The 27,431-nt window shown below is 49.3% G+C and overlaps 2 protein-coding genes and 1 long non-coding RNA gene across 26 annotated transcripts in view, besides 2 other annotated features; 2 read left to right on the top strand and 1 right to left on the bottom strand.

Moving 5' to 3' along the window:
- The window catches only part of TMPRSS4 (transmembrane serine protease 4), a 48,428-nt gene extending 21,339 nt beyond the window's left edge, over window positions 1-27,089 (bottom strand). For 6 of the 16 annotated variants that reach the window (XM_005271613.5, XM_011542901.3, NM_019894.4 and 3 more), the window contains exons 1-4: window positions 26,862-27,089; window positions 9,312-9,351; window positions 5,069-5,182; window positions 914-1,066 (exon numbers count right to left, since the gene is read on the bottom strand). In XM_005271613.5, coding sequence (XP_005271670.1) covers window positions 914-1,066; window positions 5,069-5,182; window positions 9,312-9,351; window positions 26,862-26,864 — 310 coding nt within the window. In that variant the 5' untranslated portion in view covers window positions 26,865-27,089. Of the gene's footprint in view, window positions 1-913; window positions 1,067-5,068; window positions 5,183-9,301; window positions 9,352-26,861 lie in introns of all 16 variants that reach the window. The other 10 variants (NR_110734.2, XM_005271614.4, XM_047427259.1 and 7 more) reach the window with 5 other exon arrangements.
- On the top strand, window positions 5,189-11,880 carry LOC105369517 (uncharacterized). Of its 5 annotated transcripts, none has more exons than XR_007062904.1 (4): window positions 5,189-5,280; window positions 5,721-5,808; window positions 8,896-9,018; window positions 11,633-11,880. It is a non-coding gene; the product is annotated as an uncharacterized LOC105369517 (long non-coding RNA). The 5 variants fall into 5 exon arrangements; XR_007062901.1 differs by having other exon boundaries at window positions 11,609-11,880; XR_007062903.1 differs by having other exon boundaries at window positions 5,690-5,808; window positions 11,609-11,880.
- SMIM35 (small integral membrane protein 35) overlaps window positions 17,204-27,431 on the top strand; it is an 83,330-nt gene continuing 73,102 nt past the window's right edge. For all 5 annotated transcript variants that reach the window (NM_001394166.1, NM_001394165.1, NM_001394164.1 and 2 more), the window contains exon 1: window positions 17,204-17,416. In NM_001394166.1, the coding sequence (NP_001381095.1) occupies window positions 17,410-17,416 (7 nt within the window). In that variant the 5' untranslated portion in view covers window positions 17,204-17,409. The remainder of the gene's footprint in view (window positions 17,417-27,431) is intronic.
- Window positions 20,679-20,973: a silencer, noted in NCBI's record as "tiled region #13014; HepG2 Repressive non-DNase unmatched - State 4:PromP, and K562 Repressive DNase matched - State 8:EnhW". NCBI's record gives its function as "represses a minimal TATA promoter and a strong SV40 promoter by Sharpr-MPRA in HepG2 and K562 cells {active_cell/tissue: HepG2 | K562}" and the evidence as "EXISTENCE:reporter gene assay evidence [ECO:0000049][PMID:27701403]".
- Window positions 26,639-27,234: an enhancer, noted in NCBI's record as "H3K4me1 hESC enhancer chr11:117947648-117948243 (GRCh37/hg19 assembly coordinates)". NCBI's record gives its function as "activates a minimal SCP1, AML or CMV promoter by ChIP-STARR-seq in naive H9 embryonic stem cells {active_cell/tissue: H9 hESC(naive)}" and the evidence as "EXISTENCE:reporter gene assay evidence [ECO:0000049][PMID:30033119]".

The following is a 27,431-nucleotide window of genomic DNA, read 5'->3' as shown; positions in this document are numbered from 1 at the left end:
TACACAGAAAGTCACTCAGCCCTGCCCTCAGAAGCCCCATCACTCATCTCCTACCTATCTTTTTTTCTTCAGAGCCCAAGCACCAGGGGGAAGAAGGTAGAAGAGCCCAGCCCAAGAGAGAACGTGGATTTTATGCTCAAAACATCTCCTATCCATTGAAAGGACCTGGCTCAGTCCTGTCACATAGCATGTCTCAGCAAACACTAATGAATAGAAGGACCAATAGCTGGCGAAGTGGCTGAGAAGTCTCTTTTCTAGTCTCCTTGAAATAACAAATTTCATAGAAAGGAGGAATGCCCCAAGGTCACCCAGTCTAGCCCTCTGCCTGAAATCCACCAGGCGCAGCACGCATGGGGCAGCCTCAGTTACAATTTCCTGTCCTTTCTGGCTCACATTTGGTCATCAAATAGTTACTGTTTGCTGTGTGTTAAGTACTAGGATTTAAAGGTAGACAAGACAGGGTCCTGCTCTCAAGAAACTTACACAGCTGGGCACGGTGGCTCACGCCTGTAATCCCAGCACTTTGGGAGGCTGAGGCGGGCAGATCACCTGAGGTCAGGAGTTCAAGATCAGCCTGACCAATGTGGCAAAACCCCGTCTCTACTAAAAATATAAAAATTAGCCAGGCGTGGTGGCTGGCACCTGTAATCCCAGCTACTCATGAGGCTGAGGCAGAAGAATCACTTGAAACTGGGAGGCAGAGGTTGCAGTGAGCCGAGACCAAGACACTGCACTCCATCTTGGGCCACAGAGCACTCTGCCTCAAAACAACAACAAACAAACAAACAAAGAACCTTATACAACAAGGATGAAAAGTGACAAGTAGGGGGCAGATACTATGCAGTGGGCCGTGGGGGCCTGAGCAGACCTCCTGCTGGGCCCACTTCTCTTGTGCCTCAGACCCTGCACTCACCTGCCACTGCAGGCCCTTCGGGGAAGCTCTTGACACAGTGCTCCTCGTCCTCCCCCAAGGGACAGTCCAGCTCTCCGTCACACAGCTGCTTCCTCGGGATGAAGTGGAGAGGCTGCCCGCAGAGGAAGTAGTATTTATCCAGAATCACCTTGACTGGAAGGCAAGTGCAGGGAGAGGCAGAGAGGGCTGAGGGTCAGGCTTGAGCAGGGAGACGCTGGGTTTTCCTGGCGATAGTGCTGGGCTCTCAGACACGCATGTGTGAGTTCCAGGCTCAGTTTTGCTACTTGGTAGCACACAGACTTGGGCCTGAGCCTCAGCTTCCTTGTCTGTAAAGTGGAGATAGTAACACCGGCCCCACCCCCACAAGATGTCTGCGGAGTCAAGAGAGGTCACGTGTGTGGGAGAAACAGGCTGGTAACTGCCTCTTACCCTCCAGTGCTCGCTCAGTATGTACTGGTAAAAGAGGAGGAACCCGGAGTCTGAAGACCCAGTTCTGAGTCCTAGCCCTGCCACCCACTGTGGAACTTAACTTTTTTCTTTTTTTTGAGACCGAGTCTCACTCTGTCATCCAGGCTGGAGTGCAGTGGCGGGATCTTGGCTCACTGTAGCCTCTGCCTCCCAAGTTTAAGTGAGTCTCCTGCCTCAGCCTCCTGAGTAGCTGGGATTACAGGCACATGCCACCACACTTGGCTAATTTTTTGTATTTTTAGTAGTGACGGGGTTTCACCATGTTGGCTGGGCTGCTCTCGACCTCCTGACCTCAGGTGATCCACCCGCCTCGGCCTCCCAAAGTGCTGGGATTACAGGCGTGAGCCACCGCACTCGGCCTTACTGTGCAACTTTATATGGATCGCTTTCCCTTCTTAGTTCTCAGTTTCCTCATCTGTACAATGGGATGATGATATCTATAATATCTGCCTCGCAGGGCTGTTGAGAGCATGTGGTATGATGGTAGTCATGAAAATGTCTCGTAACTATCAAGTATAGTTCTAGAATTGGGTGCTTTTACCTGGGTGAAAGAACTGTTAAATGGTAAGAACACATGGACACGTGCAGGGGGATCAACACACACTGGGGCCTGTCGGGGGGAGGCGGGAGGAGGGAGAGCATCAGGAAATATAGCTAATGGTTGCTGGGCTTTATACCTCAGTGAAGGGTTGATCAGTGCAGCAAACCGCCATGGCACACGCTTACCTACGTAACAAACCTGCACATCCTGCACGTGTACCCCAGAACTTGGAATAAAATTTGAAGAAAAAAATAATTAAAATATATAAGTAAAAAGAACTAAAATTAAGAAAAAAAGAGAAAGATCTGTGAAGGGGTTGGTCCTCGGTTTTGTTTTGTTTCTGCTCGCCGTCTTTAGATTCTGCCAGCTGCTTTCAAATTCTGTTGCTCTTTTGCCATTTTGGGATGATGGAAAGATGTTGAGTGTGTTTAATCCTTCAGGGAACTGATATTTTAACACTTTTTCTGGCCATGCATGGTAGTTCACACCTGTAATCCCAGCACTTTGGGATGCCAAGGCAGGAGGATTGTTTGAGCCCAGGAATTCAAGATCAGTCTCGGCAACATAGTGAGACCCTCGTCTATACGAAAAATTAAAAAAAGAATTAGCCAGGCATGGTGGTGTGCCCCTGTGGTCCTAGCTACTTGGGAGGCTGAGGCAGGAGGATTGCTTGAGCCTAGAAGTTTGAGGCTGCAGTGAGGTGATCACACGATTACACTCTAGCCTGGGAAAGAGAGCAAGACCTTGTCTCAAACAAACAAGCAGACAGACATACAAACAAACTTTTCCTTAGTGAAGACCCACAGCCAAACACCCTGGCAGGAGGGAACTCCTCCTTCCTAACTGAATTCTGTCTTGGCCTGATGGGACCCTCTCCAGTCCAGTATCACCCTGGGCTGGTCTTAAGAGTAGTGGCGTTAAATCTAATAATGGTCCCTGCTTGTCACCGTGTCAGGAGCTTTCCATACATTTCCTCACGTAATCCTGACAACAGTCTTGGGAGGGAAGTGTTATTACTAACTCACATTACAAACAGGGACGTGGAGAATTGAAGGTCAGGCTTTATTTTCCCAGGGCACACAGTGCTTCCAGTGTAGAGCCAGGGCCCATCTAATTCTCTGGGGAAGCTTGAGATGTGATCTGCTGGCCCTGACACTCCTGGCTTGAGTGAAGCAAGGGAGAAGGAGGAGCTAGATATTACTTAGCTCTTTGGAGTTTGGTTTATAATCAGGAGCCAGGGTAAGGCAGAGTCACTCCAGCCTCCTGGGACAAATCCAGGAGACAGCATTGCCAGTTGAGACTCCAGAAGCCATAAGGTTGAGGGAACCCGGCCCAGGATGGAGGACTGGGTAACAACCTCTGATTGCAGAATCTGGGGGCCCAGGATATGGAAGCCACATAGGACCTTCTGGGACAGGGAGTGTCCAGCTCTGAATTATGCTTTAGTGCCTGCTTGGCTTTCGCTGGATAACTTTGGTCCCCTTTATCTCCACTGTGGCAGGGTGTATGCTTATGGAAAGCAAGCTCACTTTAACATTAGCCTGAATAGAACAGGATGGCAAGTCTGCTGATGTCACTGCAAACCTCCATCATGTGGGCAACCAAGGTCAAGGAGAGAGGGTTTGGGGTCATCTGCATCTCACACCATCCAGGGCTCCCAGGGCTTTTAGTGGGGTTTATGTTGTGGCTCTGCATTTCCACCGCCACGAGATGGAAATGGACCTGTTCAATCAGGGGACCGGGGTTCTGTCGCAGCTTTGTCCCTGACTGCCACTCCTCCTCTCCGAGCCTCAGTGCTCATGTAGAATGAGGACCAGAGTCTCTCTCAGTGTCCTCTAACCAGGCAGTTGGCTGCTACTGCTGGAAATGTCACCACAGTTACAAGTACAAATTCCTGAAAGGCCAGCTATTCCCTGGCTGCACAGGCAGTCCTGCCCCAATTAGCAAATGCATGTCCTGGGTCACATTTTGTCTGCTGCTGTGTGATGACACACTCTTTTGCAAAACTTGGTTTTTAGCTTGGTCCTTTACATGTGTTATCTCACTGGTGCTCATGATATCGCTCTGAGGGAGGAAGGACATTTTACAGGTGCGGAGACTGAGGGTATGAGGCAGTGAAGGACTTACTCAAGGTCACGCAGCAGCAAGAGGCAGAGCCAGAATCCCTGTCTCGGGTGTCCTGATTCCTAGTCTGGTCCCCAGTGCCCTACTTCTTGCTGTGAAAAGTTGTGGTCAGTAACCTGCTGTGCTCATGTGGATAACAAAGGCAACGACTCCATCATAGGATGTGGGAGCCAAAAAGGACCCACATCCCTGCTCCTTCAGTTGAATCTTCTTTATCACAGATAAGGGCCTGAGGCAGAGAGGCCTGCTCAAGACCACACTGGGCCTCAGGTACTGGCCATGGTGAAGGCCAAGCTGAAGGGGGCCAGGTGCCAACTGCCTGGGGGGTCTTCCCTGCTGCCTCCTCTTTCTCCCCTCCTCACAAGCAGAAACTCGCCCTGTTCTTCCAGCCGCTGCTCAGAGCCACTCAGCTTGCAATCTGCAGAAGATGGGAAGGAGGGGGCAGGGGGCGTGGCAGCCCTGCAAATTGCATGTGTGGGTTAGGAACATATGCCACTGTGCTCTCCCTCTAGAAGAAGTCACCTGGGATAGAAGCCGTCTGGAACAGATGGGGGCTGAGTTCATCTCCCCTTTCACTTTTAGAAGAAGGCTCTCTTCAAAGCAGGGGGTGGATACATGTCTTTCTTTCTTTCTTTCTTTTTCTTTCTTTCTTTCTTTCTTTCTCTCTTTCTCTCTTCTTTCTTTTTCTCTCTCTGTTTTTTTCTCCTCAAATTCCTTTTATTATACCAATGATTTTTTCTGCAAAGCTTTATGCAGATCACCTGCCCCTGACTGTGGGGGTGGGGGCTGCCACTTACTGAGGGGGTGAAGGACAAGTAGGGGCTGCCACTTACTGAGGTGATAATGGGAGGGGCGGGGCTGCCACTTACTGAGTGGGTGAGGGCAGGGGTGGGACTGCCTCTTACTGAGGGGGTGAGGGCAGGGGTGGGGGACTGTCACTTATTCAGGGGTGAGTGCGGGGGTGGGGGTTGGGCCCTGTCATTTACTTAGAGGGTGAAAGTCGGGTACGGGCTGTCACTTACTGAGGACAACCACAATGATGATACTCGCCAGGCTCAGTAGTGCTATGATGATGGGGATCCCCACCTTTCTGAAGGTCTCCATGGGGATACGGGGTTTGCGCAGGGGTTTGACATCTGCAAGAAAATGGGAGGCAGAGGGGAAGAGCATGCAGTCAGCACTTGGTGATCCCTGAGCCAAACTCCACAGCCTCCTGCCTTCTGGCCGGTGACAGGTATGCCTTGAGCACAGTTTTGGTTAATGCTGGGGGGTTATTCCTGCAGACTAGGCTTAGCTTCAACAGCACGTGGTTACCCTGCCTCTTCTTACTTATCCAGGCTCACCTATCTTTCCTGAGTGCCGCTCAAAGGAGCCCCCAGGTCAGGCCACCTCCCCCGTGTCTTGCCTGAGCCTGTCCTAGGACATTTCTGGGTTTTGTCTGACCCTCGCCTGCCCGAGAGAGGCCTGAGCCCCTGGGGCACGTACCCATTCACTGTGCCACCATTTATCCTTTTCCTGACCTCCTGACTTAGCTTTTGATTAAACATTAAGCATCAGGGAGGCAGGGGCCTCCAGCACAGTGTGTGCTTAGTAGAGGCTTAATAAATACTTGTGAATCAATGCATCCTCAATCCCACAAACAGCAAGTCCCTAGCCTGGTCCTTGTCTTTAAAGAGATTACCATCTGGGGGAAGAGGCAGACACAGATGCCAGCCCAGCCAGGTGGAAGATAATATATGTTATAATAGAGACATCTTCAAAGGTAAGCTGGTGAAAGCCTCCCTCAGCAGGTGGCACTTAAATGCAGTTTGGGAGGGAGGCACTGGCTCAGCTCTGTCGGAGGCACGGAGGGTGCCTGTAGGCTGCCTGGTGTGCCTGGGGTACCAGGGGAATAAAGGCAAGTTGGAAGGCAGGATGGGTGAAGGCAGCTGTGGAGACTCTTGAACATTATGCTAAGGAGCCTGGGTTTTATCCTGAAGGCAGTGAGGAGCCATTGAAAGTTTTTGAACAGTGGAGAGACAGGATCAAATTAATTTTAGGAAGATGGATCTGGTCCAGTGCGGTGGCTCACGCCTGTAATCCCAGCACTTTGGGAGGCCGAGGTGGGTGGATCACCTGAGGTCAGGAGTTCAAGACCAGCCTGGCCAACATGGTGAAACCCTGTCTCTACTAAACATACAAAAATTAGCCAGCATGGTGGTGCATGCCTGTAATCCCAGCTACTTGGAAGACGGAGGCAGGAGAATCACTTGAACCCAGGAGACGGAGGTTGCAGTGAGCTGAGATTGTGCCATTGTACTACAGCCTGGGCGACAAGAGCAAGACTCCACCTCAAAAAACAAAAAGAAAGATGGATCTTTCATCAGGGAGGAGGTGGATTGGAACAAAAGAGTCTGGGGTTAGGGAGACCAGGTAGGAGCTTATCACTGCCTAGAACAGAGGTGATAATAACTACATTGTCAATTGCACATGGTTATCCAAGGAGAAGGAACCTGGGAAAGGGAAAACATAGGCAAAGTTAATATCAGTAAGTATCAGAGATACATTCTTTTAAGTCCCCCACTCCTTGTGGGAAATAAGCTGGGGAGGTGCCATGGGGACTTCTGCCCTGGGGGAGATGGGGCAAGAATTCTGGAAACCCTGGAAAGCAACGGACCGGCTCTCCTACCCTCACCTCCACATGACTGGCTCCCTGTCCTCCTCCCAGTCTTTCTTCACTGTCACCTTCACAGTGAGGCCTTCCTGGATCTCCCTATTTAAAATGCAGCCTTCCAACCTTTCCTATCCTCCTTTCTTGCTTTTTTTTTCTTCCAAAGCACGCATCACCTCTAACAAACTCTATATTTGACTTATTTTGTATATTTTCTGTCTCCTCCCGCCCCTCCATGAAATGAAGACTCGTTGAAGACAGAACTTGTCTGTTTTGTTCACTGCTAAGTCCCTGGTGCCTAGAACAGTGCTTGGTCCACAGCAATTGCTCAACAAATATTTGTCACCTGAACAGATGAATTGTTCTTGGCTCTGCTCTCTTAAGTACGTCCCTTCTACTACCTCCTTTCCTTTCCTTTCCTTTCCTTTCTTTCCTTTTCTTTCTTTCTTTCTTTCTTTCTTTCTTTCTTTCTTTCTTTCTTTCTTTCTTTCTTTCTTTCTTTCCTTTCTTTCTTTCCTTCCTTTCTTTCTTTCTCTTTCTTTCTTTCCTTTCTCTCTCCCTTTCTTTCTTTCTTTCTTTCTTTCTTTCTTTCTTTCTTTCTTTCTTTCTTTCTTTCTTTCTTTCCTTCTTTCCTTCTTTCTTTCTCTCTTTCTTTCTTTTTTCTCTCCTCTCTCTCTCCCTTTCATTCATGGAATCTGCTGCCCAGGCTGGAGTGCAGTGGCAGTGGCATGATCTTGGTTCACTGCAACTTCCACCTCCTGGGCTCAAGCCATCCTTTTACCTTATCCTCCCAAGTAGCTGGGACTACAGGCATGTGCCACAACACCCAGTTAACGTTGGTATTTTTTGTAGAGATGGGGTTTTGCCATGTTACCCAGACAGGTCTCAAACTCCTGGGCTCAAGTGATCCACCCCCACCTTGGCCTCCCAAAGTTCTAGGATTACTGGCATAAGCCACCATGCCCGGCCCCTTCTACCTTTCTTACAGGTCACATTTTATTCTGCCTTGAATGATGGCTAATCATATGTCTGACTCTATTTCTTTCCTCAGCTCTTCCAAAGTGGAGAATGGCATCCTGCTAGAGATTGGCGCCCAATGAATGCTAGTATTAATGAATCTGTTAACAAAGGAAAGCTTAGGACACTTTGTGTTTCCCCAAAAGAATGTTTTAACTTCAGACACAGAGGCCACGCAGTGGGGATGTGGACTGGAATGGTATTGCCTGTGAACTATGACCTGGCACAAAGTAGCTTATCAGTAATGTTTGCCAATACTGTTTTTAAAGTTCCAGCAGCCAGTCTTCAGAATTGTCCTCTTTCCTGTGGCCATGGCCATGATGACATTTTGTTCATGAATTCATGCATGATTTATTTATTGAGCATCTACCTCTGGGAACATGAGATTTGTTTGTTTTCTCCAAGAGTGAGTGACCCATGGGGAGCCATGGGTTCCTGTGTCCAAGACCAGACATTCTCAGGGAGCATCTGCTTCCCCCATCAGGAAGGAACGAGCTTTCATACCTAGTTTAAGTTAACGAACCCAGTGAGCTATGAACAGCCTCCTTGCCGGCTGTTGTTCCTCCCTCCAGCCTGTCCTGCCCACTGCAGCTAGACAGAGCTTCCTAAAAGCTTGCTTTCATCCTGTCACTTCTTACTCGAGGGCCTACAAGAGACTTCCACATCTGGATTATATCTTTCAAAGCCAGTGTAATTTGGCCTCTTTCTCTGAGCCAAATGGACTTCCACTGCTAGTCTTCACCAACCCCAGTTCTGCATAGTCACGTTCACTCCCTGGTCCTCGAGCAAATTCAGCTTGTTTTCTGGTTTGAGAGTTCTCAGGCTTGCTCAGGTGGCGGAGCAGTTGGCACCCTGGTGTTCCTTGGGGACACCATGGCCTACTCTTATATTGAATTCCAAAGTATAAACTAGGCACCATTTTACTTGCTAAAGATTACTTCATTTGTGGTCATTATTAACTCATGACCCAGAACTGAGAAATACATAGCCCGTCAAGCAGGATTGGCCATTTTCTTACTGATCTGTTCATATTAACGTGTTCCTTGCTCATTTGTTTTGCTGATCCAGTAGGCTATCAGGAGTAGATATTAATGGTTTAAGAAAATGTAATGGAAGAAAAATACCTCCTTAAATTTGGGATCATTCTATTTATTAACTTAGTTTTCTTCCCTTGGAAATCAGGCAAGCACTGCCATTTTTCATGAAAATGCCTCTGGCCAATGTGAACTCCATGACACCAGGGACTTCAGCTGTCTTAATTAGTGTTATAGCCCAGCATCCAGCCTAGGGCCTGGCACATGGCAGGTACGTACAGTTTTACTGAAAGGATAAGAGTGACTGAATGAATGAATTGGAGAATCATTGCTTTGGGGATTTTAGGTTTGTTGGTCCTGTTTCCCCAGAGTCCAGGCCTCCTACTTCTGGAATGAATCCTGGAATGTTTGCTGAGTGATGGATGGACGGGTGACTGGATGTCACTCATGGCACTTAGCACTTTGGTGGTGGTGGTGAGGGCCAGGCGCGAGTGGCTTAGGATCTACTTGGTAGCTGAAACTCAGAGGCTAAGGTGGACGAATGAAAGCCGGACCTGAACTTACCGAGGCTGTTCAGAGGTTGATCACTGTCAGGATCCTGTAATTGAAGGAAAAACAGTCAGTGAGTTGAGGCAGGGAGCCTCTCAGGCTGGGGCTAGCAGCCTACGGGAGGTTCTTGGGTCTTGTCTACATTCCCTTCTCCCTGAGTCTACGTTGGGGGTCTCTGTGTTATCCAAATACCTGGTTCAACAGGAAACATTCAGTCATGCACCTGTTTGATCTGTTTCAATTAGTTTACTTATTAGTTTACTTAACTAGTAGCAACTGGTTAGCAATTGTAGAAGCAACTGGCTGCTGGTTTTTGTGTAAATTGCTGAATTCCTCAAGATGATTCTGCTCTACTATCTGTTTTTGTCAATAATTTGTCTATGTTTACAGATACTATATTTCTGTAAAAACTCTGAATAGACATCTTACAAAAAGGAATACTCAACTGGCCAATAAGTACCAAACAATGCTTAATATCATTACTTATCAGGCAAATGCAAATTCAAACCACAATAAAATTTCTCTACATAAATACTAAATGGCTAAAATTTAAAAGACTAATAATACTGTGTTGATGATGATGTGGAGCAACAAGACCTCTCAGACCTTGTTGGTGGGAGTGTAAAGTGGTACAAATACTTTGGAAAATGGTTTGGCTGAATCCACTAATGCTAAACGTACAAGTATTTTATGATTCTCTGACCCAGCAATTGTGCTCCAGGATAGAGCCAAGAGAAATGAGTACAAATGTCCAGCAAAAAACCTGTGTGTGAAAGTTTATAGTCGCTTCATTAGTAATAGCTAAACATTGGAAAAACCCAAACGTCAGTCACTGGTAGAGTGGATAAACTGGTATTTTCATATAATAGAATATAATTCAGCAATAGACAAGAATAAACATTCTCAGTGCAATGACATGGATGAATTCCATGGACATAATGATGAAGGGAAGAAAATAGTCACAAAAAGTACGATTTCACTTATATAAAGTTTAAAAGGCAAGGTTAATCTATAGTGATAGAAGTCAGAATAGTGGTTACCATTGGGGGGGGCAGTTAGTTATTGGAAGGAACACAGTGGAGTCTTCTGGAACATAGGAAAACTTCTGGATCTTGTTTTCAACATTGGTTACATAGGTGTTTATATGTGCAAAAATTCACTGGGTGGTAGACTTTAGACTTGAGTACTTTACTACATATGTGCTATCAACATTATGATATTTCTGAGAGAGTGGTCTTAGGCTGCCGTCGACGCATGTGCACAAATACACGCAAAGGCATTTCTATTTACACCACTTCATGTGTGCACTCAGCACGCACACAGCCACAGAGTCACATGGAGGAGCCACTGACACAAAGGCTCACATACAAAAAAATGCAGGCCCTTTCTGCCAGGCAAAGGTTAAAAGGAGCATGCTGTCTGGGTTTATGCCCTCTGAACCCTGTGGTCTAGGTCTCCACCCAGGGACTCGCCTGCCCTATTGTGCTGAGGTCATGACCCACCTTGGTGGTGGTTGAAGGAGTCACAGGACCTTGTACATTTCTGGCTGGAAATTTTTTCTGTTCCTCTTGGGAGTGAGAGGGCCTCTTTTAATCCCTGAGTGGGTGACCCAGATTAGATATGGAGGGAGGGTCCCTGGGTGTTGCTTGCTCCACGGCTAAGCACGGTGGACACAGCAATAGGAAGGAGCTCTTTCGTTCCCTCCCAAACGAGCCTGTAGTCTGATGGAGGGACATGCCTGGCCTTGCCCTTGGGTAACACTAGGCCATGGGTGGCCTTGTGATGTAGCACACAGCCTGGTTCTGCAGTCTGCAGGGGTCGAGTCAGAATACAAGACCGGCCTCCTATTAACTGTGTGCTTTCAGGAAAGATCCTTCACCTCTCTGAGCTCCAGGCTTACCCTCTGTAGAGTGGGGACAATAAAACCTGCTTCAAAAGACTACTGTGAGGTTTACATGAGTTGTCTGGTGGGAAATGCTGGGCTCTCACATGGGAACTCTCTTTCCTCTGCCCTCCCATTGAAACTGCCTTGGCAAAATGATGACTGAGACAGTGAAAGAGATCTAACTTAGCGACTCCATCTTGCTTCTAACCTCCAAACTGTCCTTGTTCATTCCTAGGGGTAGGCAGAACTAACTTTGGGAGAAACTTAGTTTATAGTTTAAACAAAGTTGGTAACAGCTCTTTCCCAGAGCAGACTGCCTTCTTGTCTGGGGACTAGACTAACGTTAGCCCCAAGATTAGAAATTATGGTTTAGGAGTCATGCAGCTGGAGGTTACAAGATTCTGACCCTCCCCAAACTGCTTCTAAGATCAGGGCTTGAGATATTTTGCAGACCCTGCACCTGACGGATCAGCTGGCACCACCCAGATCAATAAACTGCCTCATCTGATCTGGCGGCCCCCGCCCAGGAACTGACTGAGCGCAAGAAGACAGCTCCAACTCTATATGATTTCATCCCTGACCAATCAGCATTCCTGGCTCACTGGCTTCCCCCCACCCACCAAGTTATCCTTAAAAACTCTGCTCCCTGAATGCTTGGGGAGATTGATTTGAGTACTAATAAAACTCCAGTCTCCCACACAGCTGGCTCTGCGTGAATTACTCTTTCTCTATTTCAATTCCCCTGTCTTGATGAATTGGTTTTGTCTAGGCAGCGGGCAAGGTGAACCCCTTGGGCGGTTACACCATCCTCTGCACTTCTGTAGCATTTGGTACAGGTGTTTATCACAGGGCTTCTCTCATAGGGTGGTCAGCGTTTCCTTTCCTTTTTTCTTTCTTTTTGGTTGCTTTTTTAAATTTAACATTTTATTTTTAATTAGCCACTCTTTCTCATTGCCTTTGTACCCTTGCTGTTTAGCACCAGGCTAGTACCTAGTAAAAACTTAATAAATGACTGTGAACTGGACTGAACTTTGAGCTCTGCATTGTAGTTCATTCCCGGCCGTCTCTCCTCCACCATCACCAGGGCTGGATAGAGCAGACTCTTTCCAGGCTGAAGATGAGACCCAATCGGACGACTCTGCATTGTTGCAGCTAGAGTCAAGTTAGGATAACGTCAACAGTAATTCACACCCAACTGGCATGTAACAGTTTACAAAGTCCTTTCATCTAACTCTTGTCTAGTCAAGTCGATATCAATTGTCTGCCAACCAGGATGGGCAGCATTAAAGAATTAATTATTAAACTAAACAAATGCTTGTAAAGCATCTACATTGTACCAGGCACTACTCCAGGAGGATTCAAAGACAGATCAAGAAATCATCCCAGCAAGATGGGGAAAATAGTGCCCAAAGAAGACAGCCGAGGGTCTGTCCCCAAGAAGCTTGTTTCTTGGTGGAGAGGAGGGCTAGGGGAAGGGGGAGGACAGGCCATAAACAGATAAACCAGAAAAGATCAGAGAGGGGTAGGTGCTATGCAGGGAGTAATCCAGGGTGAGAGGAGACAGCGCCTGGATGCAGACTGAGAATGGGAGCTCTAGGGAGGGGCTCAGGATGGTTACGGAGGATCTTGCTGGTCTCCCTAGAGGAGGTGACAAGAAGGAGCCAAGTGGGAAGGAACAAGCTTGGGGGGTTGGAGGAACTGAATAGAGATGGGCATGGCTGGAGCAAGGCAAGGGCATAAGGAGAGAGGAGGTTGGTGGTAAAAAGACGCCAAATGTGTTTGGAAGATACAAACAATAGGCCTCGCCGATGGATTGGGTGTGCTTGGGTTTTAGTTACGTGGGTGAGAGGGTGCTTGCTGAGCTGTGGGAGGCTATAAGAGTGGTTGGTGGAGCAGGGAAGTGGGCCCTTTCCTGTCAATTCATTCTTTTCCACTGAGTCTACCTGTGCATGCATGCCTGCATTCATTGAGGTAGGTAGGGCAAGTTTCTTTTGTTTATTGTTAATTTAACAAATATTGACTATACAACTTTGATGGACCCGGAATAGTGCTAGAAGCTGAGGCACAAAGGAGGCTTATATTCTGCACTTTCTGGGGCCTTGGATTCCTCATCACTGAACTGAACAGTGGCTAATTTTGTGTGTGTGTGTGTGTGTGTGTGTGTTTGTGTGTGTGTGTGTGACAGAGTGAGAGAGAAAGAAAGAGAGAGAGACAGAGTCTCATTCTGTCGCCCAGGCTGAAGTGCAATGTTGTGATTTCAGCTCACTGCAGCCTCCACCTCCTGCGCTCAAGGGCTCCTCCCACCTCAGTCTCCTGAGTAGCTGGGACTACAGGCATGCACCATCACGCCCAGCTATTTTTTTTTTTTTTTCGTAGAGATGAGGTATCACTGTATTGCCCAGGCTGGTCTCGAACTCCTGGACTCAAATGATCTGCCCACCGCAGCCTCCCAAAGTTCTGGGATTACAGGTGTGAGCCACAATGCCTGGCTCTTAATATGTTTTCAATTGCTATTCACTGAGTAGTAGTTGTGGAAAAAAATTCTATCCCTGTTTGAAACCAAAAGAGAGAAAGAAAAAATAAACTAAAGCAAAACCGTAAGCTAGAATGACAGGGACTGTGACTATCTTGTTAACTGTGATATCCCTGATGTCTCCTACAATGCACAGTACATAATGAGTATTGAAAAAATATTTGTTGAATGAAAGAATTAATGAAAATATCTCAGTTTGAGGACTCAGCCTCAGCTCAGTCTTTACGAACCTGACTGGTATATTCACACAGTGACATATTAGGCTGCAGTCAAAACAAATGAACTGTAGTGACACAAAATAATATGGATGGGGCCAGGTACGGTGGCTTACACCTGTAATCCCAGCACTTTGGGAGGCTGAGGCGGGTGGATCTGACGTCAGGAGTTCGAGACCAGCCTGGCCAACATGGTGAAACCCTGTCTCTACTAAAAATACAAAGATTAGCCAGGTGTGGTGGCACGCGCCTGTAATCCCAGCTACTCAGAAGGCTGAGGCAGGAGAATCCCTTGAACCCGGGAGGGGAGGTTGCAGTGAGTGAGATGGTGCCACAGCACTCCAGCCTGGGGGACAGAGCAACACTCCATCTCAAAATAATAATAAGGATGATATTAGAATGTAATATTAAGGGAAAAACTTAGTCCCAAAAGATTACATATAGCACAGAATCTTTTCTATAGAGAAGCAAGGGAATGATGAATATGGGGTTTGGGAAGAACTTACTTGGGCAGGGAGCTTGTAGTACAGTCCCTGCCTATCAAATATGTATAGCCAATATTTGTCGAATTAATAAACGAAAGACACTTGCTCTACCCACCTCAGGAGAGGGATGGATATGTGTGTGCAGGAGTGGGAACCTCATGGTTAGATGTAGGTTACTATTAAGTCCAGCTTTTGTTGGGGATGATGGGTTTATGGAGGCTTATTACATTGTTAAATCCAACTAACTAGCAAGTTACAAATGGGCCCTGCATGGACCAATAGTGAAAAAAGTCATGAAGCAAGGATTCTAGTTCCCCCAATGCTATGCACCCAAGGCTCAAGGAAAACATAAAAAAGCCATCACCTGGCTATGCTGAGTGGCTTGAGGAGGTCAAACTCATGTCCTCACCATGCTCTGCCCTTACTGTTGTGCTGCCTGAGTTTCCCCATGAGTAGCTCATTCTTTGGCTTTTCTTGAAGCTCTTTGGCAAATATCTGTGACACAGACAGGTCAGAGCTGATGGACAGATACACCTTTGGAAGAGGAGCTGCAGAAGGTCACGAGTACTGGGGCTCATGGGCAGGGAGGTAGGTGCATTTTAGGCCTGTGAGTGTCAACTGGGGGCCATCAATGTCGATGACATCCCTGAGCAGGATAGAAATAGGGACTTATGGCCAGCTGCATCTCCTCTGAGCCCAGAAGCAACAATCCTGAGCTAAGGAAAGGAGAGAATGGGTCTGAGAGATGTGGGTACCAGGTAAAATTCAGAGATCCAGCCAGACCCCATCACCATGGTGGGTCCCCGCCATGATCAGAAGATGCAAAGCTGAAACAAGGCAACTTCCTTATTTTCAGATGAGAAAACAGAGGTCGGATAGAATTGTCTTAACCTGGAGTTAATAGAGGGAAGGAGGAAGTTGAGAGGTCACCAAACAACACATGTGCTTCCTTCTGCTTTGCTGGAGATGTATTTATTTACCCCCAGCTTGAACTCAGCTTCTGCCTACAACTGTTACAGCCCCGGCCCAGCCCAGACCAAGCAAAGGCATTGGCCTTTCCCTTTCTGTTTGGGCCACTGGCTGGGCCAGGCCTGTCTTCTCTGTTGATTCAGTCTGCCGCAGAGCCCTGACTCATGGGTCCAGCCCAGCCAGTGTCTGACCTGGGGCTCATCCGGGAATGAAGCTCCTGCTGTGTGCAGTACAGTGGAAGGGCAAGAATGCCCAGGCCCCCAGGGCCCAGGTAGCGGGTGAGGTGGGGAGGTGGAAGTGGGTGGGTGTTCAATCACTGGAAAACCTGCCATTGCCTGATCAACTCAGAGAATCTTCTTTTCCTGCTTCTCGGTTTGTCACCGGCAGAGGAAGACATTAATCCAAGACCCAAATATGGAGGCAGAACCATTAGTTATTGCAGTTGAGTATTATTATATAATTTACGATGTCTTTCTTTCATAAATGCTGTCCTATATAATCCATGGAACAACCCTGAGAAATTGTCCCCATTTTACAGAAAAGGCAGCTGCTATGGCTTCGGAGCAAGTAAGGAACAGATCTAGCCCTTTGGGCCGGGTTTCTGGACTTGGTGGACTGTTGATTTCATTTCCCCATGGTTTCAGGAACTCATTTCGGTAACAGTCATTAGCTGGTGCTGGGTCCTTTTGAATCACTCCTCCCTTGCAATGCAGCCTTGTTGGATATAACCAGCATGCAGTCATCATGCAGAGATTGCCCCCAGCATCTCTCCAGCTCTTCCTCGGTGTGAAGGTAGAGTGACTTTGCTCAGTTCTGGGCTCTGCCATATCATCCATGAATGCGGTCAAGAGACCTCAAAGAGCATGTTGGGAAAGGGGCCTATTGCAGGGCTTGGTTCCCAGGAGGGGCTTTATTGATATTAGCATTTGTTCTTCCCTTTCTTCCATAAGTTCCCACCTTTCTCACCTGCCTCTTCTTCCTTTATTCCTATTCCCCACCCCTACCACTGTTTTAGATCATGGGGAACCTCCTGGTTGGGCTTAGCTCAGCTCCAAAAAGCAAACAGACATCTTAAGGTCAACTTCCTTTCCAGCTCAGAGAGAATGAACCCAGATACAAGGCAGCTCTTGTTTTTAAATGGAGTGAAGCTTAAGTGGCTGCAGAGAAGCCACAAAGTGTGCTGCAGAGAAGCCACCAGCCTGGAGAGTATGAGTTCTCATCTTGCCTTGTCTTCTGACTTGCTGTGTGGCTTTGGGCACACTCCTCAATGTCTCTGAACCTCAAGATCCCTTTGGGTAATTGGGAACTGCCCTTCAGAGATGGGATGAAAGAGTTAATAACCTCATAATGAAACAGGCAAGTCCACCAGGCTAATAAGGAGAGGAAGAAGAGGCGGCAGCTCAAGGAGGCCAAAGGAACAGAAAGCTCGGCCAGCTCCTGTCTGCCTCCCTTGCCAAGCATCCTGTCCCTGGGGCCTGATTTCTCTCTTCCTCTCTGCAATGCTGACTTGGCATTGACTTGCTCTGGAAAGAAGTCAGTAAGGGCAGAGCTGGAATGACTGGAGTGTGGACAAAGAGAGAAAAGCAGGGGCACACAAAAGAGGGTGACAGCTTCAGTCTTCCCTGGAGTCCAAGGCCCTGGCTTCCCATGGTCTCATAGGAAAACCTAGAGCCAGAGATGGTGCTGTTGCTAGGTGATGGGATAAACAGGTCCTTTGAGGCTTGGGCAGGTGGCAGTTAGGTTGCTGAGGCCAGTAATAAGCAGTGGGGAAAACCCAAGGGAGGGGGTGGGGAAAGTTCTTCGGGTAAGCCAAGAGACCCAGAGGTGCTTGCCGTCAGCTTGCAGAGTGGGGCCCGGCCACAGTGCTCCTCTGAGGGAGCCTCACTCTGCTCTCTGACCCCAGAACCTGCATCCCTCCCCAAAACCAACGGCAAGCAGCTGTGTCCTCTCCACTTGCAGCTGGAATAGGCAGTTTGATGCCTTTGCTGCGCTGGCAACAGGGCTCTCTCTCTTGGATGTCTCAGCCATGACAGGTAAGGAGAGGGTCACTGAGGGCTGGAAGATCATGGGGCAGGAGAGGAGGGAGTGAGTTTCCTGAGATGAGCCTGGTGGTGATGCAGCAGCCCAGAGTGCATGGGAGGTCCTCAGAGATGACTGATCATGCCGACTTCCAAGTATCCTGGGATCGCACCTGTTACTCTGTCTCTAGGCAGGTCGGCCACCAGCCCAGGCCATATGCCGCTGGGCATCTAAGCTCTCACGCAGAAATTCAGGGAGCATCCTCACAAACACTGCCTTGCGTTGAGTCATTATTAGAGCAGCACTTTTTCCTTTGGGTCTAACCTCAGCCTTGGCTGCTACATTAGAAACCATTTTGCCTTGTTCTAAACCACATAGGTGCTGACCTATTGGCAATTTGAGCCGAGCACCTCATCCCCCATCTCAGCACATAATGGCTCCAGGGCAGGGCCTGGGGCAGAAGGGAGGAGTCAGGCAGCCTGCCATTATCCCCTGCCAGCCTGCTGTTCAGCTCCCATCATTTAAGAATCAGCTTTTGTGTTCGGGCATAGCTCTTAGGTTCAGATAGGGCTGGGGAGGCAGGGAAGATGTAACTATTCCTATTTCACAAATGGAGAAACTGAGGCACAGCGCTTATGCTTTTTCCCCAGAGACAATGTGAAGGGCAGGAGTGAGGTATTTGTACATGCCCCTTGGGCTAAATTAAACTGAAGACAGACCTGGTTCCCACTGGAGGGCCCTGCTTCCAGGTGATGCTGCTGTTTACTGCAGTGCTTAGGAATCCCTCTGCGATCCTTCTCTTTGTCCTAGGGGAAGCAGCCCATTCTCTCCCACCTTTCTGAACTCTCAACAGCTCTACTTTGCTCAGCTTTCCCTCTGTTCCAGAGTGGTGGGTCCATCTGAGCCCACCTTCCCCTCCTGGAAGGGTCTGATAGGAAGGAAGGTGCCACCATCTTTGCACACCTGAGGACAATGCCTGGACAATGGCTGGAGGGGACTCGAGAGGGCCAGAAGGGGTCCCGCCACACAGTTCAGCCTTTCAGCCTGGCAGGGACCCTCATGGGTTTGCCATTGGGAAGGGCTGATGGATTTTAAAGCTTAGAGGGGTTCTCTCAACCTTGCAATTTACCTGAACTGAGGACCTGCCATCCATGGAGCAGTCTGACGTTAATTTAAAAAGGTTCAAAGACAGAGTTTATACCATCTTTCAAGAATCGTACTCACTTTTGCTTGTCCTGAGTTGTCCTTTAAACTTTAAGAGGGAGGGAAATGGCAGGGAGGGAAAAGGAACTGATTGGGACTGACTCCAGCCAGGAGTTTGAGACCAGCCTGGCCAACATAGTGAAACCCCATCTCTACTAAAAATACAAAAAATTAGCTGGGCGTGGTGGCAGGTGCCTGTAATCCCAGCTACTCGGGAGGCTGAGGCAGGAGAATCGCTTGAACCTGGGAGGCGGAGGTTGCAGTGAGCCAAGATCCTGCCACTGTACTCCAGCCAGGGCAACAGTGTTAGACTCTGTCTCAAAAAAAAAAAAAAAGAAGAAGAAGATCTGACTCCTCCATCTGTAGAACAACTTTTGAGCAAGTCACTAAACAGCTCCTGGACCCAGTTTCCTTCTTTGGAATGTGGGTACAATAAAAGCGACTTCACAAGATGATGGGGAGAAAGATTCTGTAAGGTGCGCCACCTGCTCAGCACCGTGCACATTTTCAGCACCTTTGCAAGCCCCCAGGAGCCCCATCTGGTCTTTGCATGATTTTACAGACTTGCTCATAGTCCCCTAGGTTGGTCTTTGCAGTTTGAGGGGTCTCAGCTGCCTTGATCAGAAGGGGGTTGTCCCTTGATCCTGCTCCTCCTGAACTCTGAGGCAGGGACACTGGCCTGAATCCAGCTCTGCCTCTTCCCAGCCATGAAGTCTTGAGCAAGTTAATAAATTTTTCTGAGTCTCAGTTTTCTCATCTGTAAAATGGGGAGAATATGACTTAATTCACAGGGTTGTTGGTGAGAATTATTGATGACACATGTGATGTGCCTGGCTTGGTGCTTGAAACATAGAGGAGTTTAGTAAGTGAAAATTAGTGCTCTCTGCCCCAATTACCCTACAGGCATGGAGAGCAGAACTCCACACATGTTCAAGGAGGGTCTGTGCTGTGGTTCTGTACAGGGGCAGGGTTGAGGATTCTCGTTTGTTCTGGAGGCCCCAGTGATAACCAGCCTTGCTGGGCTGGTGTGGCTGCTGCAGCCAATCTCCTGGCACAGGTTTCAGTGACTCCTAGATCTGTTTCCTGTGAACTCTGAGCTCAGGATCCTATAAATAGTGCTTTAATAGTGCTTCAGTGTCTTCTCTGCCTCTCTGACTTTGCAGTTGCATAACCTGAAGTTCCTTTACTGCTTTCCTGCCCACTCACATAACTCGTCGAGTGCTTCATGAAGTTTTTCCTTGCTGAAATTACATTTGCTAGGAGAGGTTGTGTTTTACAGTGCACAGAGCACAGGCCGTGGAATCCTGCAGCCTAGGTCTGAATCCTGTTTGCTCATTGGCCTGAGGCTTTAGCAAGTTATTGAACCACCAAGAAACTCAGTTTCATGTGTGTGTGAAAAAGAGGGAGAGAGAGAAAGAGAGATGCAGTAAGTCTCCCTCCTAAGGAGCCCCAGATATGCATAGCATATAGTACATTGCCTGGTGCACGGTAAGAGTACGATAATTGTTTTTTTGTTTTGTTTTTGAGATGGAGTCTCGCTCTGTTGCCCAGGCTGGAGTGCAGTGGCGCTGTCTCGGCTCACTGCAACCACCACCTCCCAGGTAAAAGCGATTCTCCTGGCTCAGCCTCCAGAGTAGCTGGGATTACAGGCGTCTGCCACCACCGCCCAGCTAATTTTTTGTACTTTCACCATGTTGGCCAGGCTGGTCTTGAACTCCTGACCTCATGTGATCTGCCCTTTTCGGCCTCCCAAAGCGGGATTACAGGTGTGAGCCACTGCACCCAGCCAAGAGTACAGTAATTGTTAACTGTAATAATAATAACAACAACAATAATAGTTTACTCATTTAGTAAGGCAACTTTCTGGGCCCTGGAGACCTAGCAGTGAACCAGAGGTAAAGCTCTTTTGCCCATGGAGTATATTCTATTATTTTTATTAGTTATTAATAACAATATTAAAATAGAACTTGGGAAGTTCATGACATAGTAGATACTCATAGTCAAAAATTATTTATTGTTAATGGGAAGGAGCTTCATAGAGGGCCTGTCATGTATGTAATAGGAACTGAGCAAAGAGCGACTTTTATGATTTCATGGGCCCCGGGGCTTGGCTTCAGCAGGGGACTCTGTGGACTAAGCGCATCTGGGGACAGTGACCAGGGCAGTTGGGACCGGAGGTGATGTCGTGTGACCTGTGTGAACTCTCTCGGAAGAGAGGGTGGAACACGCAGTTCAGAGAAGCAAGGACCAGTGGAAGCATGAAAGCTTCAAGTGTGTGTGGCCGTCTGAGAAAGGCAAAAGACAGTTCTAGGAGGAACGGGGGAAGTTACAGAAAGTCTTTTCTCCTGGCAAAGGAAAGATTGTTTTCAGCAACCGTAGCTTCTAGAAACAGATGTGTGAGCAAAAGCTGGATTGTGAAGGTTTCTGTGGCAGACGAGGGCCAGGGTCAGATAAGGGCTCTGAGCACCCCTGGGGGATTCGACCGAGCCCCGCAGCGGCGCAGCAGAGGAGAGGGAGGCAGGGCAGAAGTGGCGGGGGTGGGGGACAGTCCTTTCAAACACTGCAGCTCTGTTTTTCTCTCTGTGTCCCATACGAGGATTCTGCATTTGATTTCAGTGGAGCTAAAGGCTCTGAGGTCAAAGTACGCTTGGGGAACCCACTCGCCGAGAAGACCTCTAAGGTTTTTCCTTAGGGTCTGTGATTCTGAAGAGCTCACTCTCAGCCTGAAATTTCTCTTGTCTCCTCCCACAGATAGGATTAGTCCTAGGCCTGATCCACTTATAATATTCTCTCTTTAAATCAATTTTCTATCGTTAATGGTCTCCTGGTAATTTGGGTTTTTTTTTCCCTGAGCAGCATTGGGTATGAAACTTTAGTTTAGTCTTCTTGAAAGTCTAAGTTAATTATAGCTACTGGTTTTCCCTTTGCCCTTGGCTGAATGACCCTTTTCAAGTCATGAACCTCTTTGAGCCTCAATTTCTTTCTTTCTTTCTTTTTTTTTGAGACCGAGTCTCACTCTATTGCCCAGGCTGGAGTGCAGTGGTGTGATCTCGGCTTACTGCAACCTCTGCCTCCTGGGTTCAAGCGATTCTCATGCCTCAGCTTCCCGAGTCGCTGGGATTACAGGCGTGAGCTACTGCGCTCGGCTAATGTTTATATCTTTAGTAGAGATGGGGTTTCACCATGTTGGCCAGGCTGGTCTTGAACTTCTGACCTCAGGTGATCCGCCCACCTAGGCCTCCCAAAGTGCTGGGATTACAGGCATGAGCCACCACACCCGGCTGAGCCTCAATTTCTTCATCTGTAGAATGAGGATTACAATGTCTCAGAGAGTTGTATTAGACTGAAGGGAGATTTTGGATGTGAAAGTGCTTCTCAAAGCACAACATGGGGCCCTTGTTGCATTTGGATAGAGATGTGATACTGCCGCTGTAGCTATTATTCTCTTTAAGACCACCAGTGACTCCTACGTGTCCGGACAGGTTCTCCCAGCAGCCTGGCAAGACCCTCCTCTCTGGAGACTGGAGATGTGATCGTGAGTGATGTCAGGGTGGAGATGGGATGAAGGTGAGGGGGCTGACCTTGGCTCTATGTTTAGCCCCTTCTTGTGGACATCAGTGAGTGAGTGAGTGTCAGGCTTTGTCTGGAGTGTGGGAAAGCAGTCTCCCCTGCTCCTGTTCCATCTATGGAGTGCACAAAACTGAAGGCCTAGATTTTACATATTCTCTGAATCTTCCATGGTATCTTGCCAGTACCTAGCACATAGTAGATGCTCAGGGAACACATGCTGAATGAATGAATGAATGAATGCATACAGATTTAGAGGAAGAAACTGAGACAGCAGGATATGCTGAAAGCATTGGTTGGCTCAACCGCACCAGCGGGCGACGCCCAGCCAGACTGATGTGCAGGACATTTTGTGACAGGAGACGCGACTGCCACCCCTGGACAGGTGCGCACGCCTGGACAGGGGCCATCATGTCTCTCACCCTCTTCCTCAAGTGTTCCTTTCATCTGCTACCCTTCGAGAGTTTCTGGTTGCACGTGGATTATGCGAGGAAGCTGGAGGGTGCTCTGGGGGCCACGGGCAGGGGAGGACTGTTGCGGTTTTCCATCTTGTTTACACATTTCTCAGCTGCCGACGTGCTGGTTAGTCAGAGTGGCAGGCTGGGAGGTGGCGTTAGACGTGTCACAGGGGGATTGCCACATTGGCTCTGCCCCACTCTTCCCCTTCCCTATCACCAGGGTTTCCGGGCAGGCTCAGACCTGTGCCTCCCTCATGCCCATCCCCCTCTGGGATAAAAACACTTTAGTAACCCCTCAGATAGATCTGGTATGTTTTCCAATTGGACTTCGGGTGAGCCTTGTTTTCAGTGTCAGATAAATCAGAAATTGGTTATAGGGGATTCTGTCTTTGATTATTTACCTGTCATCCATCAATCCACTCATTCATTCATTCACATTTACTAAGTGCCTAGTCCATGCCATGGATGCCATGCCCTGTGCTAGGTTTGCGGCTAAAAGCAGAAAAGACACAGACCCTGTCCTCAAGAAGCTCCCATTCTGGTGGCAACAGGTTTAAAAGAAAATGTGGTAGATGATTGCACTTTAGGTTTGGAGGAGTTCACTGTCCCAGGGAATCCTTGCTTGGGAACTTGAAGCGTTTTACTGAGGCTGATGTTTTCACCTGAGCAGGAAGGAAGACTGAGGGCAGAAGAGGCACCTGGGAAGTCTGAGGCCGTGGAGATTTTCAGGCCTGAAAGCATTTGTCTCCTGCTGCCCTGGGGCGTTTCTGGGGCTTTGGGAAGCTTGTCGGCAGTTCCCCAGCTCTGTTTTGGGTCTGTTTTTCTCATCTCTCCCTCTACCCATGACCCCCTTGAGCTGGTCTCTCCTCATTTCTTACATTCAGCTCCTCAGATCTCTTGGGCTTTGGCATGGGTCTGGGCTAGGGAGGTGGCTGCTGGGTTCTCAGCTGCACTGAGGGAAGACTGAGAGGAGGAGAGAGGCCTGGGGTCACGCAGGAGCCCTGACATCTGAACCCCTTCTCCAGGGAAGCACCCAGGCACAGAGCTTGACCCCCAGGGTCAGGCTGGAAGCGCCCTGGGAGATGGACAGGGCCTGGGGATGCAGCTTCCACCTCGGCAGGTGCAGCTCCCATGACCTGGAGTGCCGGAGTCTTTGCTCCAGCCACAGCGAGAGCCTGTTGTCCCTATACTACCACTCTTTCTTGCTGTTCACACATGCAGTCCCCTGTGTCTGGAGCTCCTTCCTGCTTTCCCTGCCTGGAGAGAGCCTGCCCATCCTTCAGAGTCCAATGCAAATAGTTTCTCTTCCAGGACAATTTCCCGACTTCCCTAGAGAGAATCTATTGCTTTTTCAGCTCCAGGGGTACCTTGTAACCACTGCTGGTGTTATACTTGTCACACTCTGTGTTGAGCACCTGCAGGGTGAAACCTAGGTATTGGGTCCTCCCAATCCCCAGCCCCATTTAGAGGCTGGCCAATGAAAGGGGCTGATTAAATGGTGTCTGGCTGGAGCTTCTTTTGGTGGGGGGGGAGTGGTTACAGTGACACCAGGCCCTGTCACCCAGGTGGCAAAGGATCCAGGAGAGCAGGCAAAGCAAGCAGCCCCTCCTTGCCTGTCTTGCCCTTTAGGACCTTCCCACTGCCCAGCTCAGTTTACCACCTCAGAGCCTAGGATGGCACTGCCAGGGCCGAGTGGGCTTCTGGATTCTGTGCCCCAGTCAGGGTGGACCCTGCAGTGCTCCCAGCACCCCGCTGCCCGCAGGCTGGCTCCTGACTGCCACGTTTCTGAGCCCAGCCAAGCCCAGCCAAGCCCCTTGACTCTGTACCAGGCTGGCACGGAAAACAGGAGGTGGGAGGGAGGACCAGCTTCCTCCAGAGCAGCCGGAAGCGTCAGGGGGTTGACCTCAGGTGTTAACACCCACGTCTGGTGGCTCAGGGTGCGTTTAGGTCTCCGGAACAGTAATGAGTCAAGGCCAGGATAACCAGTCCCAGGGTCCCTGACTTCCCTCCAGGCCTCAGCTATGGAGTAGTTAGCATGGGACACATTTCCTTCGGGGACAGGGCTTGGGCTCTGACCTCTGCCTGGGCCTGAGTCCCTGCTCCAGCTCTCCCTAGGAATACCCAGCTTAATGGGTTCTTGGGAGAGCTGTCATTAAGACGCAGCAGCTCAAAGGACCCTGACTGTCACAGAAAGGGGCCTGTGGGGATGGAAGGAGGTAGGGAATGGAAGGGAAGGGAAGGGAGGGCTGAGCCTGGGTGTGGAGATCCCATCCTCCCCTCAGGGCTGGGAGCTATGGCTGTCAAGGGTTATTAAGCACAGGCTTAATGACAGGGTTATTCAGCACAGGCAGTATAATGGCTAGCTCCGGGGCTAGAAACTTCCTTGACCACACCGTGGAGATTGGCCATGCTGCTGCCTTGCCTTTGGGGCCCCAGGCCTGACCTGACCCCTCCACCAGTGTTCCCACCTGCCCTCCCCCGCTCCTCCAGCAATGCCCAGCTCCTTCCCTGGTGGCAAAGGGTCTGTGTTGGGTGTACTACCCAGCTGTCATTTCCTAGCACAGACTCCTCTTTAGTCCTAAGTCCTTACATCTGTGCGGGGCTTCATGGTTTCCAGAACCTACTCACATGTATTAGCTGTGTAATCTCTGCGAACCCGGTGCATGTGCGTGGGGCTGTTGTGGGTCATATCGTTTCCGTGGGCAGGGGAGAAGGTGAGTCTCGGGAAGATGAATGCCTCAAGACAGCACAGCTAATCAGGGAGCTGGCCTCAGCCTTCTGATTCTGCAGTTAGTGACCTGCCCTAGAAATGATTCCCTTCTCTGTTGCTCCCCCAAGAGACACCCCAGGTCTCCTCAGTGCCTGCCACCCAGAAGCAGCTCACAGCTAGGTAGACTCCACAGCTGCTCTCCTCTCCTGGGAGCCCCAGGGGATACAGCGTCTCTGCACACAGGCCAAACTTTGGGGCGCCTCCTTGGATGGGAAAGCAGGAAGCTTGTGCTTTGATCCTGGCTCAAAGGGAAGCCCCTTCCCCTTTCTGATCATCAGCTACAACCGCACTAAGAATTGTTCTTGCCAGAATTTTCAGAAGAGTGTCGTGGGAAGTGCTCAGGTTGGGAATAGGAGACAATCACTCGAGGGGCCCCTGCAGGTCACACCCTTCCCCCTTGGACAGTGGCTTCTCCTTTCCTCTCTTCCCTTCCCTTTCACTTTGGTGGCTGGGCAATTGCTGCCTCTTGGCCAAGGACTGGAGAAGGAAGACCCCTGGGTTCCTCCTCAGACCCAGTTATTATCTCTTCCCCTCCCTGGCCCTCAGCTGTCCTCCTTGAAAGATAGGGTTGATTCTCTTTGCCCCAAGACAGCGAAGACGCTCCAGGTATTCAGAGGAGGAGGAGAGAGGGTGAGGGCATGAAAAGAGACCAAGTAAAAGATGACCACAAACACCCTAGATTGTTTGGAGGCATCTCTGCACTGTTTTCTTTTCCTTCTTTCTTTTTTTTTTTTTTTTTTTTTTTTTTTTTTTGAGACGGAGTTTCACTCTTGTTGCCCAGGTTGGAGTGCAATGGCACAATCTTGGCTCACCACAACCTCCGCCTCCCAAGTTCAAGCGATTCTCCTGCCTCAGCCTCCCAAGTAGCTGGGATTACAGGCACCTGCCACCACGCCTGGCTAATTTTTTGTATTTTTAGTACGGATGGGGTTTCACCATACTGGCCAGGCTGGTCTCAAACTCCTGACCTCGAGAGATCTGTCTGCCTCAGCCTCGCAAAGTGCTGGGACTACAGGCGTGAGCCACTGCACCCAGTCTACACTTTTCTTTAAAAAGAAAAGGAATCAGTTTCCCCAGGGAGTGGCAGAGGGCAACCGTGGCATCAGAACAGCCCCCTGCCTTGGAAAAATAGTGCCAACCTCTAACCAACAGACCTGGAGACATTGGGCAAAAGAACATGCAGGATTCAGGAAAGAATAGTCGGGAAGGACAGCCCTGGCTCTGTGCTCAGCTTCTTAGGTGAGCTGGTCCAAGGACCATGGCAATGGAGGAAGAGAGGAAGGCAGGTGGGTATGAGACGTGTACCGGGCTGGGGTGTGAGGGGATTTGGGTGTGGCCTCTTTTTTTAACCTAGAAGGTGTCACAGAATTCTCAGCTGATGGATGCTCAGGCTGCTTGAAGGGCCTTACATGGGGAGACCCACCCTTCCTGTGTCTTGGGAGCAGAGGGCCCCACACTCACCATGCTGGCTCTGTGATCCTCCCGGTCTCCCTGTAGCCTGGAGCTGAGATTGTCACCCCAAGGCAGCAGGAGGGCCTCCCCACACAGGTCCTGGCTGGCCAGCAGGTCAGAAGTCCCTGGTCAGCACTGGCTGGAGGAGGCCCGAGTGCAGGGCAGGCCTTGGTCCCTCACGCCCAGCATCCTTGTCCGCTGAGCAAGCTGCTGCCTCTCTCTGTGTATTCCAGGAGTGATTGGGGGACTTTGGGCAGCTTGATTAAAACAGCCCTACAAGTGAAGTTGCCAAACTGGAATGATTATGTGTCTTGTAACCTGACACCTATCTTAGGGGCTGGAACAACACCTGAAGTCATTCATGGGACCTTCGGCCTCAGAACAGGTGACACACCTAAGGCGTAACAAAAGCCTTCCCGCCTGAATGACTTCCACCCAACTGGGTGTTGGCTGAGGGTGATGCCAGAAGTTTCCGCCCCCCCTCCCCCTACCTTCTAGGTGCATGACTTCTCACTGTGTGGGTGCTTTGGTTTGGGGTTGTGGGAAGTTGGAGTGGTCTGGGGGTTGGGCGACAGGGTT

The sequence above is a fragment of the Homo sapiens genome, chromosome 11, assembly GCF_000001405.40.
Source record: "Homo sapiens chromosome 11, GRCh38.p14 Primary Assembly".
Taxonomy (NCBI): Eukaryota; Metazoa; Chordata; class Mammalia; order Primates; family Hominidae; genus Homo; species Homo sapiens.
The sequence above is the reverse complement of the archived record's forward strand: the minus strand, read 5'-3'. Positions and strand labels throughout refer to the sequence as shown.